This window comes from Homo sapiens, chromosome 4 (genome assembly GCF_000001405.40).
Source record: "Homo sapiens chromosome 4, GRCh38.p14 Primary Assembly".
Lineage (NCBI taxonomy): Eukaryota > Metazoa > Chordata > Mammalia > Primates > Hominidae > Homo > Homo sapiens.
Genome location: NC_000004.12, coordinates 59,847,836 through 59,869,936, shown reverse-complemented (window position 1 = coordinate 59,869,936; position 22,101 = coordinate 59,847,836). Strand labels below are relative to the sequence as shown.

At 33.8% G+C, this 22,101-nt stretch overlaps 1 annotated feature.

Moving 5' to 3' along the window:
- Positions 13,871–14,372: an enhancer, noted in NCBI's record as "H3K4me1 hESC enhancer chr4:60721283-60721784 (GRCh37/hg19 assembly coordinates)". NCBI's record gives its function as "activates a minimal SCP1, AML or CMV promoter by ChIP-STARR-seq in primed H9 embryonic stem cells {active_cell/tissue: H9 hESC(primed)}" and the evidence as "EXISTENCE:reporter gene assay evidence [ECO:0000049][PMID:30033119]".

Here is a 22,101-nt window from a genome sequence, read left to right as displayed (position 1 = left end):
GGCTCTCTGTGCTGTGGTTACACTCTAGCACAGATGTTTAATCATGACTGCGTTTTCCTGTGCAAATAAGATCATTTTGTTTCCGTGTCCAAAATGGACAATAGAATGTTCTATATTAGAAGCAAAACACAAAACATTTTCTAACTATTTTGTAAAACTGATAGATTAGCATTTGGAATGATGTAGGGTTTTGCTGATGACGGCATTTTATTGTAATATCTGGAATAGAGGCTCAGTTTACTTCAATTGTCCTCATTGCTTTTACCTATCAAGTAGTCATGACATTTGCCCTTTATGTTTTCTGAAAGTTTTATGAAGATTTTAAATGATCATAATGCAGCCAAAGAATGGCTTGTAAAGAACAACTAAAATAATTTGAGATTTTAGTGGGTAAAACCGAAAGTGATCATTTAAGGGGAGAGTAAAAGGATTTATCTATTCTTTTTGAAAGAAAAAAGGATGCTAATCAACAGGAGAACAATACCTAAAAACAGAAAAATATCCATTGCACAAAATATTTGTTTACACAGCAGGTAATAAGATTGCAGAGTACGTTACCCTAAGAGGTATTTTAGCAGAAAATTAGAGGGGGAATCATGTCCATTTTAGGTGCTGTCCATTTATTGCCTGGAGTCATGCGGAAAGTCCAGCACATGGCCAATGATTAATTAGCATTTGTTGAATGAAAAGGTTGATATGCTTACTGACCCAAGAGGGTACAACAAAGTCTATCTGTCCTGTGACAATCAGGATTAATCTTATTATACTCTTTACCCCTGTCAATCCCCATTCTCTGAACTATCATCCCCATAAGACTTCGTTTATTTATTTACTTAATTTGCAACTCAACTCCCAAATCTCCTATATTAAAAAAATTTCTACCATGCCATCTGTAACTCAGGGTATATTTTTATAGCAAAATATCTTATATACATTCATTCTTTTCCCTGAAGGCTTTCTTCACCTTATTACTCTGATTGAACCATGTCTCTCCTGTGAGAACATGACTACTCATGCAGCCCTCTCAAGTAATGAATATTTTTCTTTTCACACATCTTGTTGCACTGAACCTCATTTCCACCTCTAGAATCTAGAACTTTCTCTCTTTGCTTCCTAAAATTTCCTATGTTTGGATTTCATGGCAGCAGACTATACCACCCATTACCCACTATAGAGGATACTCATCTATTCTCATTGTGGCAATTCCTCCTTTATCTCTAGCTCATTCTCCTTCTAGCTCATTCCCTAAAACTATTTTTGATATTACTCCAATATTCCTCAACCATTCATTCTCATGAGCAGCTCCTAAACCTGCACTGCCAAATTTATTAACCTATAGCTATAGGCAGATTTTATAAATTAAGTTTATTAAAATGAGTTAATTTCTTAGTTGCAGTAGCCACATATCAGAAGGACATTAGTTATATGTGGTAGTGGCTATTGTGGCTATATTAACATTCTTATCATCACATACATTTTTATTGGAGAGTACTTCCCTAAATCTCTTTATTTCCAGTAACCGCATCCCCTTCATACCTCAAATTTAATGTTCAAATCCCCAGTTATTTATTTGTTTCTATCTTATTTCTTCTAGTCACATGACTTTTATGATATATAACTCATTGATGAAACCAAATGTTTCTTTCTGATACACAGTATATTCTCATTTACTTGTGTGCCCAGGTTCAGCAATATAATCACACCCTTACAAGCACCATCAAACTACTCATTCTTCTCTGGCATGGTCAAACTCAGCTGGTAAAACTTCAAAGACAAATACCAGCTATTTACAGGGCTTGTGCAACTGAACATGGTTCGCTGACAAACAAAATTATACTGAATAGCCTCACGTTATATACATGACTATCAACCTCAAGTGGGTCCTTTGGGTTGCCTGGTATTTATATTATATTTTTAAATCCTTTCAGTCTATTGTTTCTTGAGATGTTAATTTCTTAACTTTCCTTCTCATATCTTCCCTTTTCCTCTGTTAATATGAATGGGGACTGTTCAGGTACCCAGGTTATGTCACCCTGTATTCAATTCTCACACTGCTATGAACAAATATTCCAGACAGGGTAATTCATAAAGGAAAGATGTTTAATTGACTCACAGTTCTGCATTGCTGAGGAGGACTCAGGAAAATTACCAGCATGGTGGAAGGCAAAGGAGAAATAGGCAGCTTCTTCACAGGATGGAAGGACGGATTGAGTGTAAATAGAAGAAATGCCAGATGCTTATAAAACCATCAGGTCTCATGAGACTTACTCACCATTATGAGAACAGCATAGGAGAAACTGCCCCCATAATTCAATTACTTCCACCTGGTTCTGCCCTTGACATGTGGGGATTATAGGGATTACAATTCAGGATGAGATTTGGGTGGGGACACAGAACCAAACCATATCACACGCTTCTACTTATATGTCATTTCCTCAAACCAAATCAAAGACATTGCTTCAGTACTTCTTATTGCTATTCTCTCTCTCCAGAGTAAACATTATTCGCATATAAGACCACAAGAAATTCGGCCTTTCTTAAACAAGCAAAAACCAAGCAACAAATAAAACCTGTTCTAACTTCATTTCTCCATTCTCTTTTAAAACTTGCCATCTTTGAAAAATATTAACTCCTGTCTTCCAGTTTCTCCCCTTTCATTTTTTCTTGAATGTGATAAATTCTGGCTACTGTGGCCATCATTTCTAGAAACTGCTCTTCTCACTCTTATTCATCACATTGCTAAATACAAGGGTAAATTATAATGGTAGTATTTCTTAGCCTATTAACAACTTTTACAATATTTCATCAAGTGAAACACTTTCAGTATTTAAATTTTGGATCAAAAATCTCTCCTTTTTGTCTCTCCACTTCTTCTCTTTCCCTATTGAAGGTTTCTGCTCATCTCTCAGTCCTCAAAACTTTGAATTGCTCCAGCTCCAGTCCTTAAAGCATCTGTTTTCGTTATTTCATACTTTGTTAACATATAGGTCAATGGCTTTAAATATCAAATATATAATAAGAAGTCATATTTTATAGCTTACTAAACATCTCCTCTTGCATGAGTAATAGGCAACTCAAACTTAAGATACATAAAAGATGGACTACTGATCATTTTCCCCAATCCTGTTCCTCATATTATTTTCTCAGTTTTAGAAAAATTAAGCTCACTTATTTGGGCAGCATTTTCCTAAATCTTATTTCCAGAAACCACCTCGCCTCAATACTCTCAAATTGAAATGTCCACTTCTTCAGTCATTAGCTTATCTTTATTTCATTTGTCTTAATGGTATGACTTCTGTGAAAGGAAAATAAATCTTTGGACCCCAAAATTACTAAGCTAAAGAGAAAAGTCAATTGGAAACTGCATAGGGCAAAACTGCCTCCCATTCTATCAAAAGTCATCCCTCTGCTCACTGAGATAAAAGGAAACCTGATTGCTTCTTTTGGAAAGGCTAATCAGAAACTCAAAGGAATGCAACCATTTGTCTCTTGTCCACCTATGACCTGGAAGCCTCCTCTCCTTTTTGAGTTGCCCCATCCTTCCAGACTAAACCAATGTACATCATACATCTATTGATTGATGTCTCCTGTCTTTCTAAAATATATAAAACCAAGCTGTTCCCCAACCACCTTGGACACATATTGTCAGGATCTCCTGAGGCTGTGTTGCTGTGTTACGTGTGTGCATCTTTAACTTTGGCAAAATAAATTTCTAAATTGACTGAGACCTGTGTCAGATATTTGAGGCTCACACTTCTACTACATATAGCTCATTGACCAAACCAAATATTTCATTGTAACATATATCATGTCTTATTTTCCTTATGAAGAGCCACTTTCAGTTGTGCTGGCCAAATGACTGTCGTTTTTGATTCCTGATTTCTTTTTTTTTTCCACTTCTCACATCCAAATAGCTTATAATTTTGGCACTATTTAAAAAATATCCAGAATCAAAACAATTCTTGCTACTTCCATTGCTAATATCACAAGCCAAACTACTAAAATATCTTAACTGAATTATTACAATAGCCTCTTAATAATATCCATTTTCACATACTTGCTTCCTATTCTACCACCAACACCAAATCTATAAATAACATGGAAGTCAGAATAATATGCTGCATATGTTAGGTCATTGTTACTCTGTTCTTCTTTTACACAAAATGCTAATGACCTATAAGGTTCTCATGTTATAGCTGCTGTTGACTTTTTAGCTTTATCTTCCACTACTCTTTCTCTTCCTTCATTTTTTTTCCAGCAATGCTGATCAACTTGCTGCTATTGAACATACCAAGATCTCTGCTTCAGAGATTTTGAATCTGCTGTACCTCTGTTTGGAATACCATTCTCCCAGGTAACTACAGGAATTGCTGCCTAATTTCCTGGAAGTTTGCTTCAATGCTGTCTTCTCAGTAGTTATCCTCCAAGCATCTCATTTTAAATATAAACTCTCCTATTTCTTTCTCATCAGCATCATTCATACTTTATTTTGTCCCAATGACTTTTTACAGTCTGACACATTATATGTTTAACTTATTTATTTTATGTATACCTCCCTTTAGAATATAAGATTTATGAAAGCAAAGTTTTATTTTATTTTTCTTTATTTTGTTCTCTTCACATGAAATTGTACCAGGGGAAGAGAAAGTGGTGCAAGATTGCCAAATAAAACCATCCAACAATCATCCCCCAAAAGGAACACCAAATTGAACAACTATCCATAAAAGAAAGCACCTTCATAAGAACCAAAAATCAGGTAAGAAATCACAGAACCTGGTTTTAACATCATACCAAGGAAAAAGGGACTGAAGAGGGTAGAAAGACAATCTTACATTGCCTACATAATCCTTTGCCCATCCCTTGGCAGTGCCTCAAGGAGAGAGAATCTGTGTATTTAATGTGGAGGGAGAGCCAAATGATTCTGGGATTTTGCATTGGAACTCAGTGCTACTCTGTCACAATGGAAGGCAACACAGGGCAGAATTTCACCAGAGCCCATGGAGAGAGCATTTAAACCAGCCCTTACCGGAAGGGTATCCTCTGTCTCAGCGGAAGGAAGCTAAGTTTCAGCTAGCTTCACCATCAATGGACTGAAGTGCCCTGGGGTCCTGAATAAATTTGGAAGACAGGCCACAAAGGACTGCAGTCCTTGGTGAAGTCCTCATGCTCCTCTGGCCTTGGAGCCAATGGATGTGGAGTGCCTGTGACACGGAGACACCAGTTGTAATGGCCAGAGGAGTATTTTCATTGACCCTTTTCCAACTCCAGGCAGCACAGCTAAGGGAGAATTATTATTATTATTATTTTTCCACTTGGGGAAAGGAGAGGGAAGAGTACAGAGGGCTTTTTGTCTTAAAACTTGAGTACTGGCTAAGCCATAGTAAAATAAAACACTAAGCAGACTTCTGAACTTCTCAATTCCAGGTTCTAGCTCCTGGATGGCATTTTCTAGATAAACCCTTAGCCAGAAGGGAACTCACTGCCCTGAAGGGAAGGACCCAGTTCTCTCAGGATTCACCACCTGCTGACAAAAGAGCCTTTGGGCCTTGAATAAACATTAGCAGTAGCCAGGTAGTAGTCCTCACAGGACTTAACTGATACCCAGTACCGTGGTGAACTCAAGTTGATCCATCACAGATCCAGTTGCAGTGGCCACAGAACTGCTTGCATCACTCGTTCCCTAACTCCAGACACTGTGGCACATACAGAGACAGACTTCTGTTTGGAGGAAAATGAGGGAAGAAAATAAGAAACTTTGCTGTGTAATCCAGGAAATTATTTTGGATTCTATCCAAATCCACCAAGGTAATACATCTAGGGGTCTGCAAGAGCCACAGCATTACGTGGCCTAGGATGTCCCCTAGAGCTGATATGGCTGCAGTGACCAAGAGTTAACTCACATTGTTCAATTTATTTTGAATATCTGGAAAGCCTTTTCAAGTAGGATGAGTACAACTAAGCCCAGACTAAGAATTAGAGTAAATATCTAAAACTTCAATGCTCAGATATCAGTGAATATCCACTAAGCATCAAGAACATCCAGAATACAAAGGACCTCCACCAAATGAATTAAATAAGGCAACAGTGACCAATCCTGGAGTGCTAGAGATAAGTTGCCTTTTAGACAAAGAATTTTAAATATCTGTTTTGAGGAAGGAAGCACAAAGAACTTGAAGATAACATGAAGAATGAATTCAGAATCTTATCATTGAGATTTAACAGAGATTAAAACAATTTTTTAAAAACCAGCAGAAATTCTGCAACTGAAAAACTCAATTGGAAAAGTACGAAATGCTCAGGACTCACTCAGCAGCAGAAGAAATAATAGGTAAACTTGAAGACATGCTATATGAAAATACACAGAGGAGAAAAAAGAAAAAAAGAAAAAAATAATGAAGTATGCCTACAAGATCGAAAAAACCTTGAAAGGGCAAATCAAAGAGGTATTGGCTGTACTCTTTAAAGAGTATATATATACACATATAGATATATATAGATATATCTATATATATACACATATAGATATATATAGATATATCTATATATATAGATATATCTATATATATATCGAGAGAGAGATCAGGTAAGAAAATGTATTCAAAGAAATAATAACAGAAAACTTTTCAGTTCTAGAGAAAGTTATAAATATTTAGATACAAGAAGGTCATAGAACCTCAAGAGACCTTAACACAAATAAGGCTACCTCAAGGCATTTAATTATCAAAGTCCTAAATGTTAGGTATAAAGTAAGGATTCAAAAATGGCAATATAAGACAACAAATGACATAAGAAATATCTCCAGTATGTTGACAACAGCCTTCTCAGTGGAAACCTCACAGGCCAGGAGAGAATGACATGACATATTCAACTTGTTAAATAAAAGAAACAAACAAACAAAAAACACTTTTTTCTTCTAGAATATTATATCTAGAAAAAATATATATACATATATTTCAAATATGAAGGAGAAATAGTCTTTCCCAAACTAATAAAAGCTGAGGAATTTCATTAACATCAAACCTGTCCTATAAGAAATGCTAAAGAGAATGTATTAATCTAAAAGAAAAGGATGCTAATGAACAATAAGAAATCATCTAAAGATACAAAATAGACTGGTAGCAGTAAGTACTTGGAAAAATACAGAATATTTTAACACTGTAATTGTGGTGTGTAAACTACTTACATCTTGAGTGGGAAGAATTAAAAAAACATAAAATACAATAATTACAATAACTTCTTAAGGGATAGAGACTATAAAAAAGCATAAATGGAAATAAACAAGAAGTAGGAGGAATGGAGTTGTGTAAAGTTTTAGTTTTCCCTTTGTTGGTTCAATTGTTTGCTTTTTGTAATCAGAGTTGAGTTGTCATCAATTTAAAATAAATGGTTATAAAATATTACTTGCAATCATGGTAACTTCAAATTACAAAAAAGTACAAGAAATACACAAAAATTTAAAAAGATAGAAATTAAACATACTGCCAGAAAAAAAATGTTTACAGAAAAGAAGACAGAAATAAAGGAAGAAACAGAGAATCAAAAAATAACCACAGAACAATAGCAAAATGGCAGTCATAAATCCTTATGTATCAATAATAACATTGAATGTAACTGAACTAAATTATCTAATCAAAAGATAAAGTGGCTGAATAAATTTTTAAAAAAGAGGTCAAACAATACGCTACATACAAGAAACTAATTTCAACTAGAAAGACACACATAGACTTAAAATAAAAAGATGAAAAAAGATATTCCATGCAATGGAAACCAAAACAGCAGAAGTAAGTATACTCATAACAGATAAAGATATTTTAAGATAAAAACTATCAAAAGAGACAAAGAAGGGTAAAATTATATCACTGTGATAATAAAGTGACCAACTTATCAAGAAGATATAGCAATTGTAAATATATATGCACTGAACCCCGGAGCACAAAGATATATAAAACAAATGTTAAAATTAAAGAGAGAGATAGACATTAATACAATACTAGCTGGACACCTGAACACCCTAATTTCTGCAGTGAAAGCTCATCCAAACAGAAAATCAACAAAGAAATATTGGATTTAATCTGCACTATAGATCAAATGAACCTAGTAGATACTTTTAGAATACTTCGTCTAACAGCTGCAGGATATACATTCTTTTCCTCAGCACATGGATCACTCTCAAATACAGACCATACATTAGGTGATACAAAATATTCAAAAAAATAAAATTAAGATATGTGTCTTTTCTGACAATGGAATAATCAGTAACAAGAGGAACTTTGAAAGCTGTACAGAAACACAGACATTACACAAAATGTTCCTGAACGACCAGTAGGTCAATAAAGAAATTATGATGGAAACTAACAAATGTTTTGAAAAAAATAGTAATGAAAAGACAACATATCAGAACCTATGGGATACACAAAAATCAGTACTAAAAGGAAAGTTTATAGCAGTAAATGCTTACATCAAAAGGGAATAAAAACTTCAAATAAATAACCTAACAATGTGTTTTACAGAACTAGACAAGGAAAAGCAAGCCAAAATTAATAGGAAAAAATAAATAATAGAGATCAGAGCAGAAATAAACAAAATTCTAAAATAGAAAAGATTATTGAAAAACTTGGTTTTTTGAAAAAATAAACCAAATAACCCAAACTTTAGCCAGACAAAGAAGAGAGAAGACCAAATAAAATTAGAGATGAAAAAGGAGATATTATAACTGATAACCTAGAAACTCAAAAGATCATTAAAGATAAGCAATTATATGCCAAAATTGAAAAACCTAGAAGAAATGAATAAATTCCTAGACACATACAACCTACCAATATTGAACCATGATGAAATCTAAAACCAAAATTAACCAATAACAAGTAACAAGACTCAAGTCATAATAAATCTCCCATCAAAGAAAAGTTCAGGACCCCATGACTTCACTCCTGAATTCTACCACACATTTGAAGAAGAACAGATACTAATTCCACTGAAACCATTCCAAATAATCTAAGAGGAGAAAATATTTTCAAACTCATTCTATGAGGCCAGTATTTTCCTGCTACCAAAACCAGACAAAGATACAACAACATCAATAAAAACTATAGGCCAGTATCTCTGATGGAGACAGATGCAAAATTCTCAACTGACTGCAGCAAATCAAAAGCAACAACACAATAAAAAGATCCTTTATCATGATCAAGTGGGATTTATCCAAGGATGTTACCACTAGAGCAATTAGACAAGAGAAAGAAATAAAGGTATTCAAATTGAAAATAAATCAAATTATTCTTTTTGCAGATTATATGATCTAATGTCTAGCAAAATCAAGACTCCTTCAAAAAACTATCAGAACTGATAAATTCAGAAAAGTAGTAGGATACAAAATCAACATGCAAAAATCAGTAGCATTTCCATATGCCAAAGAAAAAATCTACAAAAATTATAAAAGTAACTCAACTTATAAAGGCTACAAATAAAATAAAATACCTAAGAATAAACTTAACCAAAGATGTAAAATATCTCTACAATATAAACTATAAAATATTGATAAAAGGAATTAAAGAGGACACAAAAATGTAAAGATATTCTATGTTCATGAATTGGAATAATTAATATTGTTAAAATATCCATACTACCCAAAGCAATCTACAGTCAAAATACCAATGATATTCTTCACAGAAATAAAAAAAGTGTCCTGAAATTCATATGGAACCACAAAAGACCCGGAATAGCCAGAGCCATCCTGAGCAAAAAGAACAAAACTGGAGGAATCACATTACCATCTTTAAATTATACTACAGAGCTGTTTTAACTGAAATAGCACAGTACTGGCATAAAACAGACACATTGACCAATGGAACAGAATAGAAATTCCAGAGATAAATTCATACATCTACAACATTTTCAACAAAGGTGCCAAGAATATACATCAGGGAGAGGACAGTCTCTCCAATAAATGATGAGAAAACTGGACATCCACATGCAGAAAAATGAAACTAGACTCCTATCTGTCATCACATACAAAAATCAAATCAAAATTTGATTAAGGACTTAAATCTAAAACCTGAAACTATGAAAGTATTGAAAAAAATAGTGCAGAAACTTTCCAGGACATTGGTCTGGACAAAGATTTCTTGAGTAATATCTGAAAAGCACAGGCAACAAAAATAAACATGGACCAATAGGATCTCATCAAGCTAAAAAGCTTCTCTCCAGCAGAGGATACAGTTAATAAATTGATCAGACAACCTAAACAATGAGGGAAAATATTTGCAAACTGCCTATTTGACAAGGGTTCAATAACCAGAATATACAAGGTAGCCCAACACCTCAATAAGAAAAATAATATACTGGGCAAAATATGTGAATAGACATTTCTCAGAAGGAGACATATGGAAAGGCCAACATGTATATAAAAATGTGCAATATAATTATCAGATAAATGCAAATCAAACCTACAATGAGATATTATCTTATCCCAGTTAAGATGGCTTTTATCAAAAAGTCAGACAATAATAAATGTTGGTGAGGATGTGGAGAAAGAGGAAACTTCATACACTCTTGGTGACAATAAATTATTACAGCCACTATAGAGAAGCAGAATGGAGGTTTCTTAAAAAACTAGAAATAGAACTACCATGTGATTCAGCAATATCACTGATAGGTATATACCCTAAAGAAAGGAAATCAATAAATTGAAGAGGTATCTGCATTCCCATGTTTATTGCAGCACTATTCACAATAGGCAAGATTTGGAATTAACCTAAGTTTCCATCAAAAGATGAACAGATAAAGAAAATATGATACATAAACCCAGTGGAATATTATTCAATCATAAAAAAGAATAAAACCATGTCATTTGCAACAGGATGGATGGAACTGGAGGACATTATGTTAAGTGAAATAAGCCTGGCAGAGAAATACAAAGTTTATATTATTTCACTTATATGTGGCACTAAAAATTAAAACAATGGAGTCATAGAGTTTGAGAGTACAATGATGCTGACCAGATGCTGGGAAGGATAGCAAGGAGGAAGAGAGAAAGTGGGATGTTTAATGGGTACAAAAATGTAGTTAGAAAGAATAAGGTCTAATATTTGATAGTACTGACAAGGTAACTACAGTCAATAATTCAGAGTATGTCTTAAAATAATGAAAAGGGAAACACTATAATGTTCTTAACTCAAAGAAATGATAAATGCTTTCAGTGAGGATACCCCGTTACCCTGATTTGATTATTACATGTTGTATGACTGTATCAAAACGCCACATGTACTATATATACATATATATGCCTATTATGATAAAAATTAAAAAATTAAAATTGTACCTGGTATAAAATAGGTTCTCAGTTAATATTTATTTTAAAAGTAAATGAATTTATAAATAACACTGGTGTAAATATATAAGAGAAACAGAAATCTATGTAATATTTCAAAATGGATGTAAAATCATCCCTTGAGGGAAACTCATGTCTCTCAGCTTTATCACTTGATTTCCAACCTGCAAAAAAATAAAAAAAAAAAATAAGTTGCTGAAGTTCCATAGTCCTAACCTATGTCCATGAAAAAACATAATTTCTCCCCAAAACATGATTGATGATGAATAAATTTTCATGTAATGCAATATGATTTAACTCATATTCTCTTTAGGTTTAATTAAAAACAAATGTAAGTGCATAATAAGCACAATGTTGTACAAATGTTTGCTGAAATAACTTTTTCTTTCTTTACTTTTTAAACTTCTATTTTCACATAAATCTATAATTCAATGTAGGAGTCACCTAATCAAGGTTTAATTGGGCACTATTTTTAAACATGTTATGACAATTAAGGATGACATATAATACATGTAATATAATCATTAGTATAATTACTACATCGATTTTTTTCAGCTTTATTAAGTTACAATTGACAAATAAACATTGTATATATTTGAAATGTAAACATGACATTTTAATGTACATATATATTATGAAATGATTTCCATAATCAAGCTTATCAACCTATCCATCACTTCACATATTTACTTTTTGTGTGTGAGAACACTTAAGATAAATTTTTAGGCAAACTTCTAATGTATAATACATTATGATAAACTGCAATTAGTACTACATAGTGATAATAATTATAGTATATTTATGTTTCAATGAATTCAAACAGACATAAAACCTATGAGTATCTTGATTAACTTCTAAGTAAGATTTTGGAAGCTTCTTTTTTGTATTTTAGAATATATATGCTAAAATTTCTATTTTAATGATATCCTTCTCCATTTTCACATGTGAAAATGCCACATCGTTGAAAAATCCTTTGTTTTCTAATGGTCTTCTTGTTAATGTTGTTACTGACTTCTCTGATTAAAACAAATTAAACAACTGTAGTTATTTCAGAATGTCCCTACAACTTTTGTAGCTTCATTCCTTGTCGTTTTTAGCTTTTAAACTTTTCAAACCTGGTTGATGTCAATAAATAGGAATCAAATCATAAATGTCTTTATATCTAAACATAAATTTCAACATACATGAGTGTATAATCTTACACGTAATTATAAGTGCCACATGTCACCACTAGTTATGTGCCTTTTGAACTAAGTAGCTAATTGCAAAATCTCTCCATGAAGAAACATCTTATTTAATAAAGATAATCACTGTTAGTTATTTTATCAGCCACCAGTTTTCTGATATTAAGGTCTAACAGTACCAATTAAAAAAATTCACTAATAAAGATATTATGGATATAAATTTTTATTGTAGAAATTACTTAAAATCCGTATCCTGAGGTAATTACATAATAAATGACATACCTTCTAAAGGTCAATGAATATAAATAATTAAATGTCTACATCTATAGATAGATGGGGAAAATGTATAAGAAGAAAGGAAAAAGAATGGAAAAAAAGCAATGAGTAATTTCCATCAAGATATTTCAGGCAGAAGAAAGTCAGTTGAAAGGGTTTGAAATTCATAAAAGAAGATAATACTTGGGAAATGAATTGTAAACAGGAGACTCTGTAGGAGACTGTAATAGTAGTTAAAGTGATGAAACATTTATTTAAATCTGTGAGAGGGAAGATGAAGTCAAATTGAACAATTTGAGATATTTTTATTTAATATAATTGAAAGAAAGATGGTCAAGAATGACTCTGGACTTTCTAACTTTAGAAATTTAGTAATATCATTTATAGAAATAAAGAGGAAAAGGAAAGATTTGAGACCATTTGAATCTCATGTTTTTCTTATCTTTTTAGGTTAGGTTTTTGTGCAGCATCCTGATGGAACTTCAATACACACTTGATACTGTGAGCATGAAATTTTCAAGGCAAGTTGCATCTGCTGATTACTTTCTTAGCAATATAACCAATCCATACCTTATTTTCAACTCAAGAAATTTATATTCCACTGCTTATTGGATATTTTCACTGAGATGTCTCACAGACATCTAAAACTTAACATTCGCCAACTTGGAATTTATTACCATTGCTCGAAATCTACTCCTTTCCAATATCGCTTAGCTTGAAAATAACACTACCATCTCTCAAACACATTTAAAAAATGCTATGGATGGCAGCAGTGGTCTGTTTGGTGCTGCTGCAGCCATAATGCTGGCTTCAGTGAGAGACGTGCAGTAGAGGCTGTGCACTCCATGTAGCCAGCGAGCGCCCTGCCCGCTTCTGAGTTGGCAGAGCGGGAGCCGGGTACTCCCTGGGTGCAGCTGCTGCTGCCTAGCCACGGATATGGACCGGGGCATCCCTATGCTCTTCGGGCTGGGAGCAGGCAGGAGCCCCACCCTCCTGAGTGCAGCTGCAGCTGTGGAATCAGGCACCTCTGCACTCTTGGAAACGGACTGGAAAGGACTCACTTTCCTCTCAGGCTCAGAGGTGCCTGCTCCCACTGCCTGCCCTTTCCCCACTCCCAACACCGACTCTGATCTCATAGCAAATTTGAGGCCAAGATCAAAGCTGTTGCAACCCGGCCAGGTGTGAGCAAGCTCCGGGCAGTGCTGACTCCAGACTTTGGGTGCTGACAAGCACAGGAGGGAATCCTGGGCACCATTATCAGTGGTAGAAGGCAGACAGACTCCTTGGCGGAAAGGGGTGGGTCCCTGGTGAAACCCCACCTTTAAGCGGGAGAAGGCCTGAATCCTGGGGGCCAGGCTGCCAGTCCCCGGACGGGAGTGGAAACTTACTCTGCTTTTTCTGGGCCTGCCCATGGCCACCCAGGAACCAGTCAGCATGCACTTCCCTCTGAAGCCCATAAAAGCCCTGGATTCAGCCAGACTTGAAGAGACATTGGGACGGCCAGCTGCATAGTGTACCTACCCATTCGTGTCTCCTCTCTGCGGAGTGCTGAACACTTGTCAGGACACCCTGGCTGTGGAGAGGAGCTACCCACTGCAGGTGTCCTCTGAGCTGTTCTATCACTCAATAAAGCTCCTCTTCACCTTGCTTACCCTCCACTTGCCCACATACCTAATTCTTCCTGGGAACGGGATAAGAACACGGGAACTGCTGAATAGTGGGGCTGAGAAAACTGTAACACAAATAGGGCTGAAACATGCTCCTTGCTCATCACCTTTCTAGCAGCACGAGGGAGAGAAGAGCTGAAGCCCTTCAGGGAGCCAAGACGTAGGAGCTCCCTGAGCCAGGGCTGTGACACCTTGTTTGGGACTCAATTATACTCTGATTACACTTAACTAAAATTACTGAGAGTTTAGAAGTCCAGATGTCTTTAAGAAATTTATTTCTACTCCCTTTTGCATGATTTAACAATTCCTCTTTCTCTTCTTTATATCTTTTTCTTTTTAATATTTATAGATACGTAATAGTTGGAAATTCTTCTTTGTACCTTGTCTCTTGACTTTTGTAACAATGTTGCTCTCTCATAATTTTTGTCTTGCCTATTTATTTCTAACTCATGGATGGCACCTGGAAGCTTGATTAAAAAGAAAAACAAAGATATAAAGAAGAGAGAGAGGAATTGTTAAATCATGCACAAAAGAATATAAATCAATTTGTTAAAGACAGTTGGACTTCTAAACTCTTAGTAATTTTAGTAAGTGCAATCAGAGTATAATTGTGTAGAAAGATGTCAGCATGTAATGAGTTATATAAAGAAGATGAAATAAAAGCTAATTTATCAAGAAACAAGGCAGAGAAGAAATAAAAGAGAATAAAAATTGTGACAAGATTGGAGCAAATATTGATAAATTTATGGATTAGATAAATTTGCAGAGGTCATTATTAACAGTGTCTTTTTCTATAAAGTAGCATAGATTTTCTTAAGAATTATGAAATTAATTGTAGAATAGGAAATTAGAGATAGCAGCTTAGGTTTTAAAAAGCCTTCAATTTTTCAAAAATGCCATCTGAAATCAGGGTTAGTATATTATTTCATGCAATTATAGCGTACTTAAAACTAACTCTATAGAAATATTTCTTCTAATCTTACAAATCTCTTTCAATGTATATAGTATCAGGTTAGTACAAAGTACTTGTGATTTTTGCCATTGTAATTAATAGCAAAAAATTTTGCACCAATCTAATATATCCCTCATAGGACCGGTGTATTTTGTAACTTATCACTACTGAATCCCTAGTGCCTAACATCAGGTTCCAAGTAAATTTTTATGAACAAAAAACGATGTAGATAAGCCTCCTCAGTGGGTATTACCAACATACTGGATTTTAACTTATTATCTAGTTCAAAAATGTTCAGTGGTTTCCCAGTGACTTCAAATTTCTAGGTTTAATTACATTTATAAAACATTACTCCTTGGCCTAGACTTTAGTTATAATATTTTTTTCTTCAGACAGTATTATTTTCCCTTTTATCAAAATCTCACTGTCATCTCTATTCTTTTTAATTTAATGTTGCCTTACATTGTTGCTTATCTCATTTGTTTATGCTCTGATTATATATGTAGATTCAGATTCAGCTAAAAATTTTGGAATATCTACTATGTGTTAGATATAGCTCTCTGAAGATTTAGATCACTTAAAACTGTAAGATAATAAATCACAAGTGCTGTAACTTTGTTTTCCTCTATTGAAATTTAGCTCAAAATTTACAAAGACACTATTAGAACCTTTAAGGTCTCAGACCACTTTGCAGTTATGGAATTTCAAGCCAATGACCGACAAAGATAGAGAGAAAAGGTGGCAGCAGTGCCTATGGTAAATAATGATGGGCTTGTGGAACCACAGTAACCCAAGGTGCCTCAAAACTGTAACAACTGTACTTAAAGAGATTCAGAGATTCCTGTCAGAGGCCATACAGTATCTGGTTTCTGTAATCCTGAATGTTTATAGATTATGCTTTCTGCATTCTCAGGACATTTCAAGTTTTCAAAAGCAACTGGTTGAGTGAAAGTTAGTGCATTGTTTATTTATTATCACTGATAACTATCATAGTGAGGTACTAAATCAAAATGGGTTACATTACATCAACTCTGGGTGAGATATATAGAGGGAAATTTCATTTCTCTTAAACATTAAAATGTTTAGAGACACATATCCCAAAATATAACCCTAACATGTAGATGATAATTTGAACCTAGATATTATGTCCAATGGAGCTTGTTAGATTATTAACTAGTTTAAAAAATACCGTAGTTTATAATTATTTTATTAATACTCTCCCCATACAAAATACAATATGAAGTATATAGGATAGATTTAATACCTAGCTATCAAGTTGAACAGATGTTGACATGTAAGATCTATCAGTAGTTTTCAAAGTGAAATAGATAATATGCAATAGAAAATCAGTAAAAGAGTAGGCAAAATGTTCTTTTATGTTATGCTCTTCAAGAGCATAACTGAAAATATTCACAAATCCTATGAAGTCTTGGTGTCTTATTATACTATTAATTTAAGAGTCAGCTTGTCTAATATTTTTTAATGGCAAAACTGCAATTACTTTTGCACCAACTTAATAGGAATAACTAGAAAAATAAATAGATGCAGACCTGACATTATAACTACTATAACAATTATAACTACTATAACAATTGTAACTACGATAGCAATTAGAATGTCAGGTCAGCATCTATTTATTTTTCCAGTTATTACTACTAGGTTGGTGCAAAAGTAATTGTGGTTTTGCCATTAAAAGGAAAGGTTAAAGCAAGTCTGAAAAGAGAAAGTATAAAGTATAATTATTAATTTAGAAAGCAAAAATATTAGACACTGGAGAGACACAGTTATGATTCTTTTGTGAAAAAAAGGATCACAGAATTATTACTATAAAAGAATATCTTTATTAATTTTATTATAACAAATATTGTCAATTATCATAGGTAAACAGAAGAAAAGCCTTGTCATAGTAAACTTGGAAGAATATAATAAATTGGAAAGATTATATCACATACACACATCTATATTTATACATATATACATGTGTATATTTATATGTGTATATAACTCCATATACAATGAGACATATTTCATTTTAGGAGTAGTCACTATGCATTTCCATAAAGATATAAAACAAACAGATTATGACTGTGTCATTTCAGTTATCTTAATATTCATCATCTCACAATAAATAATTGACATTCAGATAACTGAATTAGAAACTGGAGTTAGAATCCAATAATCTGTGAAAATCTGTACTTCAAAAACCCTTGCAGTGTGTGATGACAAGGCATACTAAAGTTTGAGAACCAATGTTATGTAGAAAAAAAGTATAATCATGCCATTTCACTTGTTAGAACTGCTTTCTGGATATTCAATCCTGATTCTCCATGTAACTTGTATTTTTCCACAAATATCAATCACACTAAAATAGTATTTTTGCTTTTCTTAATTCATATCCTTTATCTGGGAGAATTCATCCACTCTCTTGGATTCAATATTCATCAGAATCTGTTTCCTTTAGATATTTTCCCTACTTCTTCTTTCTCCATTCTTTCATCTCTGTAAATAGCACCTACATTTTTCAGTTGATCAAGCCAAAAATCAGATAGAGAGTATTAACTCTTTTCTGTCTTCTTCCATGTCTCTTGTGGCCTACATATGTTAAAAAAAGGAAGTTTTAATGATTTTCTATTTTTTAACCTTAATATAGTTCCTTATTTCCTCAGGCCTGGGATGCACAAAAGATATTACAAAATATTTAGTCTTCACCATTGCTAACATTCAAAAGCTTTTAATTACAGGTAAAATGTACACCAAGTGAAATGCACAACTTAATTGTAAAATATAAGTAGATGTAGCATAACACTGTCTTATCAATTATAGCACTTTTCCCTCACTCCCACATATTTCTCTTTTGCCCTTTTCTGTCAATCAGTCACACTTCTAGAGGGTATTTGCAGCTATCCTCCTCGAGGGTACAACTGTTCTGATATTTTGTTTTTCACACCAAATTAATGATGTCCCTTTAGAACTTCATATAATTAGAATTTTACATTATACACTCTTGTTTTTGAGATTCATACCTGGTTTTGCATGTAGCAGTAATTTGTTCCTTTTATCTCTAAGAAATATCACATTGTATGAGTATACAACATCCTCCCCACCTTCACACTGCAACCAGAACCACAAATAATGCCAAAATGTCACTTTAACTTTTTGTCCTACAAGCATCTGTGGTGTTCGGTAATTGCTTCATCCGAGTACTTTTCCGCATATAATGGAACCCAGTATGACATAATGATTAACTGCATTAATCTGGGAAAAGAATATCTGAATTTGAACTCTGTTTCTCCAATTCAATTACCTCTATGATCTTAGACAAGTTATATAAGTTGTCTGTGTCTCAGAATTCTTAACATTAAGATAGATATACTAATAAGTACCTCGTTAAATTACTGGAGTTTACAAAATTAACAAAACCATAAAGCAGTTAAATAGCATGACACATATATGGACTCAAAGAATTAGCTACATTATTATTTTTACAGTCTACGTATCTGTGTTTAACACTGTTTAATAAGCTTCCTCTGGGCAGGAACCACTGTTTTTACATAACTTGATGTGGTAGATGTCAATACATGTTAATTCAAGGAATGAATGAATTACATTATTATGGGGAGCACACTATTATACAAATTATTGCAACCCAGCATGTATTTCTCATGTTTCACTGTTGAGAATGGAATTTATTTAACTTATTGTGACAAATACTCTAATTTTCCCTCAATACCCATTCTCTCATTCTTTGTTTTGGCCGTATAATCCCCCAAAGTTTCTGACATAGCACACAGTACCCATTTGGCACTATATTTCCTAACTTATCTTTCAACAGTTGAAGCTTTATGACTAAGTAACTACCAATGAATTCTAAAAGAATTGTGAATTGCAACTTTTGCATGCCATCCTTACAAGAAGATTGCTTGACCTCTACCTCCTCTTTCTCAGTGTCACTGGTTTGAATGTGGATGAGGTCCTTGTGAACTGTTTTAGCCTTGCAGATGAGGTCAGTAAGTTAGGGGAGTACAGATCAACAGGAAAAATGGGAACTGGGTCTCCGCATGACCACTTAGAATTTTTTTTTTTTGTGGGGGTGCAACTTGGTCTATTTTTCAAACATTTAGATTATTAGTTGAAAGATGAAATGCTGGTTTACTTTGACTGAACCATTGTTTTTTTTTTATTTTATTCTTAAAGCAGCTTAGTCTGTACCTTAAATAGTGCACTAATTCCAGAAGAAAGGAATATAAATGGCCAAAAGAATCACCAAGGCTTCTGAACAAATGCACTATAGATTTAGTTGTCAGGACTGACTTTTAAAATGATGCTAGGGAATTGAGCCACTGAAGCATTACTGACTTTTCTATAATCAGAAAACTACCTATGGAAATGACAATTGTAACCATAAGTCCTAGCTCCAGATCCATGGGCAGATAAAGCTATAATCAGAGAAATTCACAACCACGAAGCTGTTATTATGAAGAAGTTGACAATGAAAACTCAGATGTCCTCACACTGGACTTGCCAGCAGTAATTGAATAATTAGCAGAAGAGTGACATCTGCTTCACTCTGTATTCTAAATCGCACTTGAATGTCCCTGAGGGTGAACACTTAATTATCCATAACTGTTGCTGCAAAGGTGTCTGCAGAATTTTACATTTATATTTTCAGCCTCTGCAAGGCAAGAGGGCCCTTGACATTGAACAGAGTTTGAAAAAAATGTTGAACACCAATGCACTTGATTCTGTGCATAGGGTATGAGTTTCAATTGCAGAATTTTACACCGTGTTACCATAGGAGTGTGACTGAACTCTCTGAGTCTAAAAGATAACTGTCTAATGTCATAATAATCCCAATGTAGTGAGTGATTATTGCATATGGATAACTTAAAAGAATTATAGAAATGACACAGGGAACAGGGGAAATAATTTTAAGTACTACATTATATGTGAAACAGTGTATAGAACTTCAAGTGGACTGGGAAATCTTTACACCGGAAAACTTAAATACCCAATAATCACTTCCCTTAACATGAGAGGACATATTCTGTGTGATTTTATTTTTTCTAAATTAATTGAGACTTTATGGCCCAGCACACAATTTATCTTGCTGACCACTCTGTTATACTAGAAAATAATTTGTTGTGTAATTATTGTTTGCAGTGGTTTATAAATATAAATTAATTTGAGTTAGTTTTTCATCTTCTTGAAGTTTTCTATATCTTACTCATTTTCTAGGTTCATACATATTTATATCTACAAAACATGTTTTTGTTGCTGATGGTATGATTTTATTATGATTATTACTATGAAATGCCTTTTGTTATGTCTGATAATACTGTACACCCTGAAGGCTAGTTTGTGTGGTATGATGTCCAGATTTCTAATGATTAATGCTTTCAGGGTAGTCTTTTTCAATATTTTTGCTTTTATCTTTACTTCATTTTCAATGCATATCTCCTCTTAATGACACATTGTTTAATTTTATTTTTTAATTCACTTATTTCTCTTAATTGAAGCTCTTCTCTATCTGTATTTAATATAATTTATATGATTGAGATTAACTCTGCCATATTGCTATATGTTTTCTATTTGTTGCATCAGTTGTATTTTTCCTTTTTCACCTTGATGGTTAATTTTAGGCACTAACTTCATTGGGACATAGGGTTCCCAGCTATGTTGTCAAACAATATTTTTTGTTTCTGCAAGGATTTTTTCCTGAGATTAATAATTAAATTCAGTAGAATGAGTAAAGTGAATTGCCCTTCCTAATGTGAATGGGCCTCATTCAATCAGGTGAAAGTGTGAAGAGAACAAGAAAAGCTGATGCATGCCCCAGTAGGAGAGCATTCCTCCTGCCTGACTACCTTCTAATTGGCATATCAGCTTTTTCCTGCCTTCAGACTGATATTGAAACATCGGCTCTTCCTGCCTCTCCAGCCTGCCAGACTTCAGACTGGAACTACGCCATTGGCTCTCCTGGGTCTCCAAGTTGCTGCCTCACCCTGCACACCTTGAGACTTGTCACCTCCACAATCTTGTGAGCCAATTATTTGTAATAAATCTCTCTCAGGTAAAGAACAAAAAAGAAAAGAAAAAAGAAGTAAAGAAATTCTATTGATTCTGTGTCTGGAGAATGCTAATACACCTATACTATCTGCATTTGAATTATTTGATAAATGTTTTAGTGTTGAAGTGTATTTCCTTTACAACAATTTAGACCAACTGTATCTATCTATTTATATATTTATTCCAATGGTTGCTATACATTCACAATAAACATCTGGTAGATTCTATTCATGTTACTGAAAGTTTTAGATGTTTCTTCTCCCTCTTTCTCCAGTTTTAACTAAACCTTCCTAATTTCCTTCTCCTTCCATTTCTGGATCACCGGCAATATTAGTAAGTCTGGACTTCCCTCCTTTAAGGAGCTGAGCCTTTGTCATTCCAGATATCATCCACACATAGTGTTATCAGGCCAGTTGAATAAATATTTTCTTCATCTATTAGAAATGCGTTCTCATATTAATTTCCCAAATTTTAGTGAATCATTTAAAATTTTAACTATTCTTTTTTTAACAATACTTTAAGTTCTAGGGTACATGTGCACAATGTGCAGGTTTGCTACATATGTATACATGTGCCATGTTGGTGTGCTGCACCCATTAACTCGTCATTTACATTAGGTATATCTCCTAA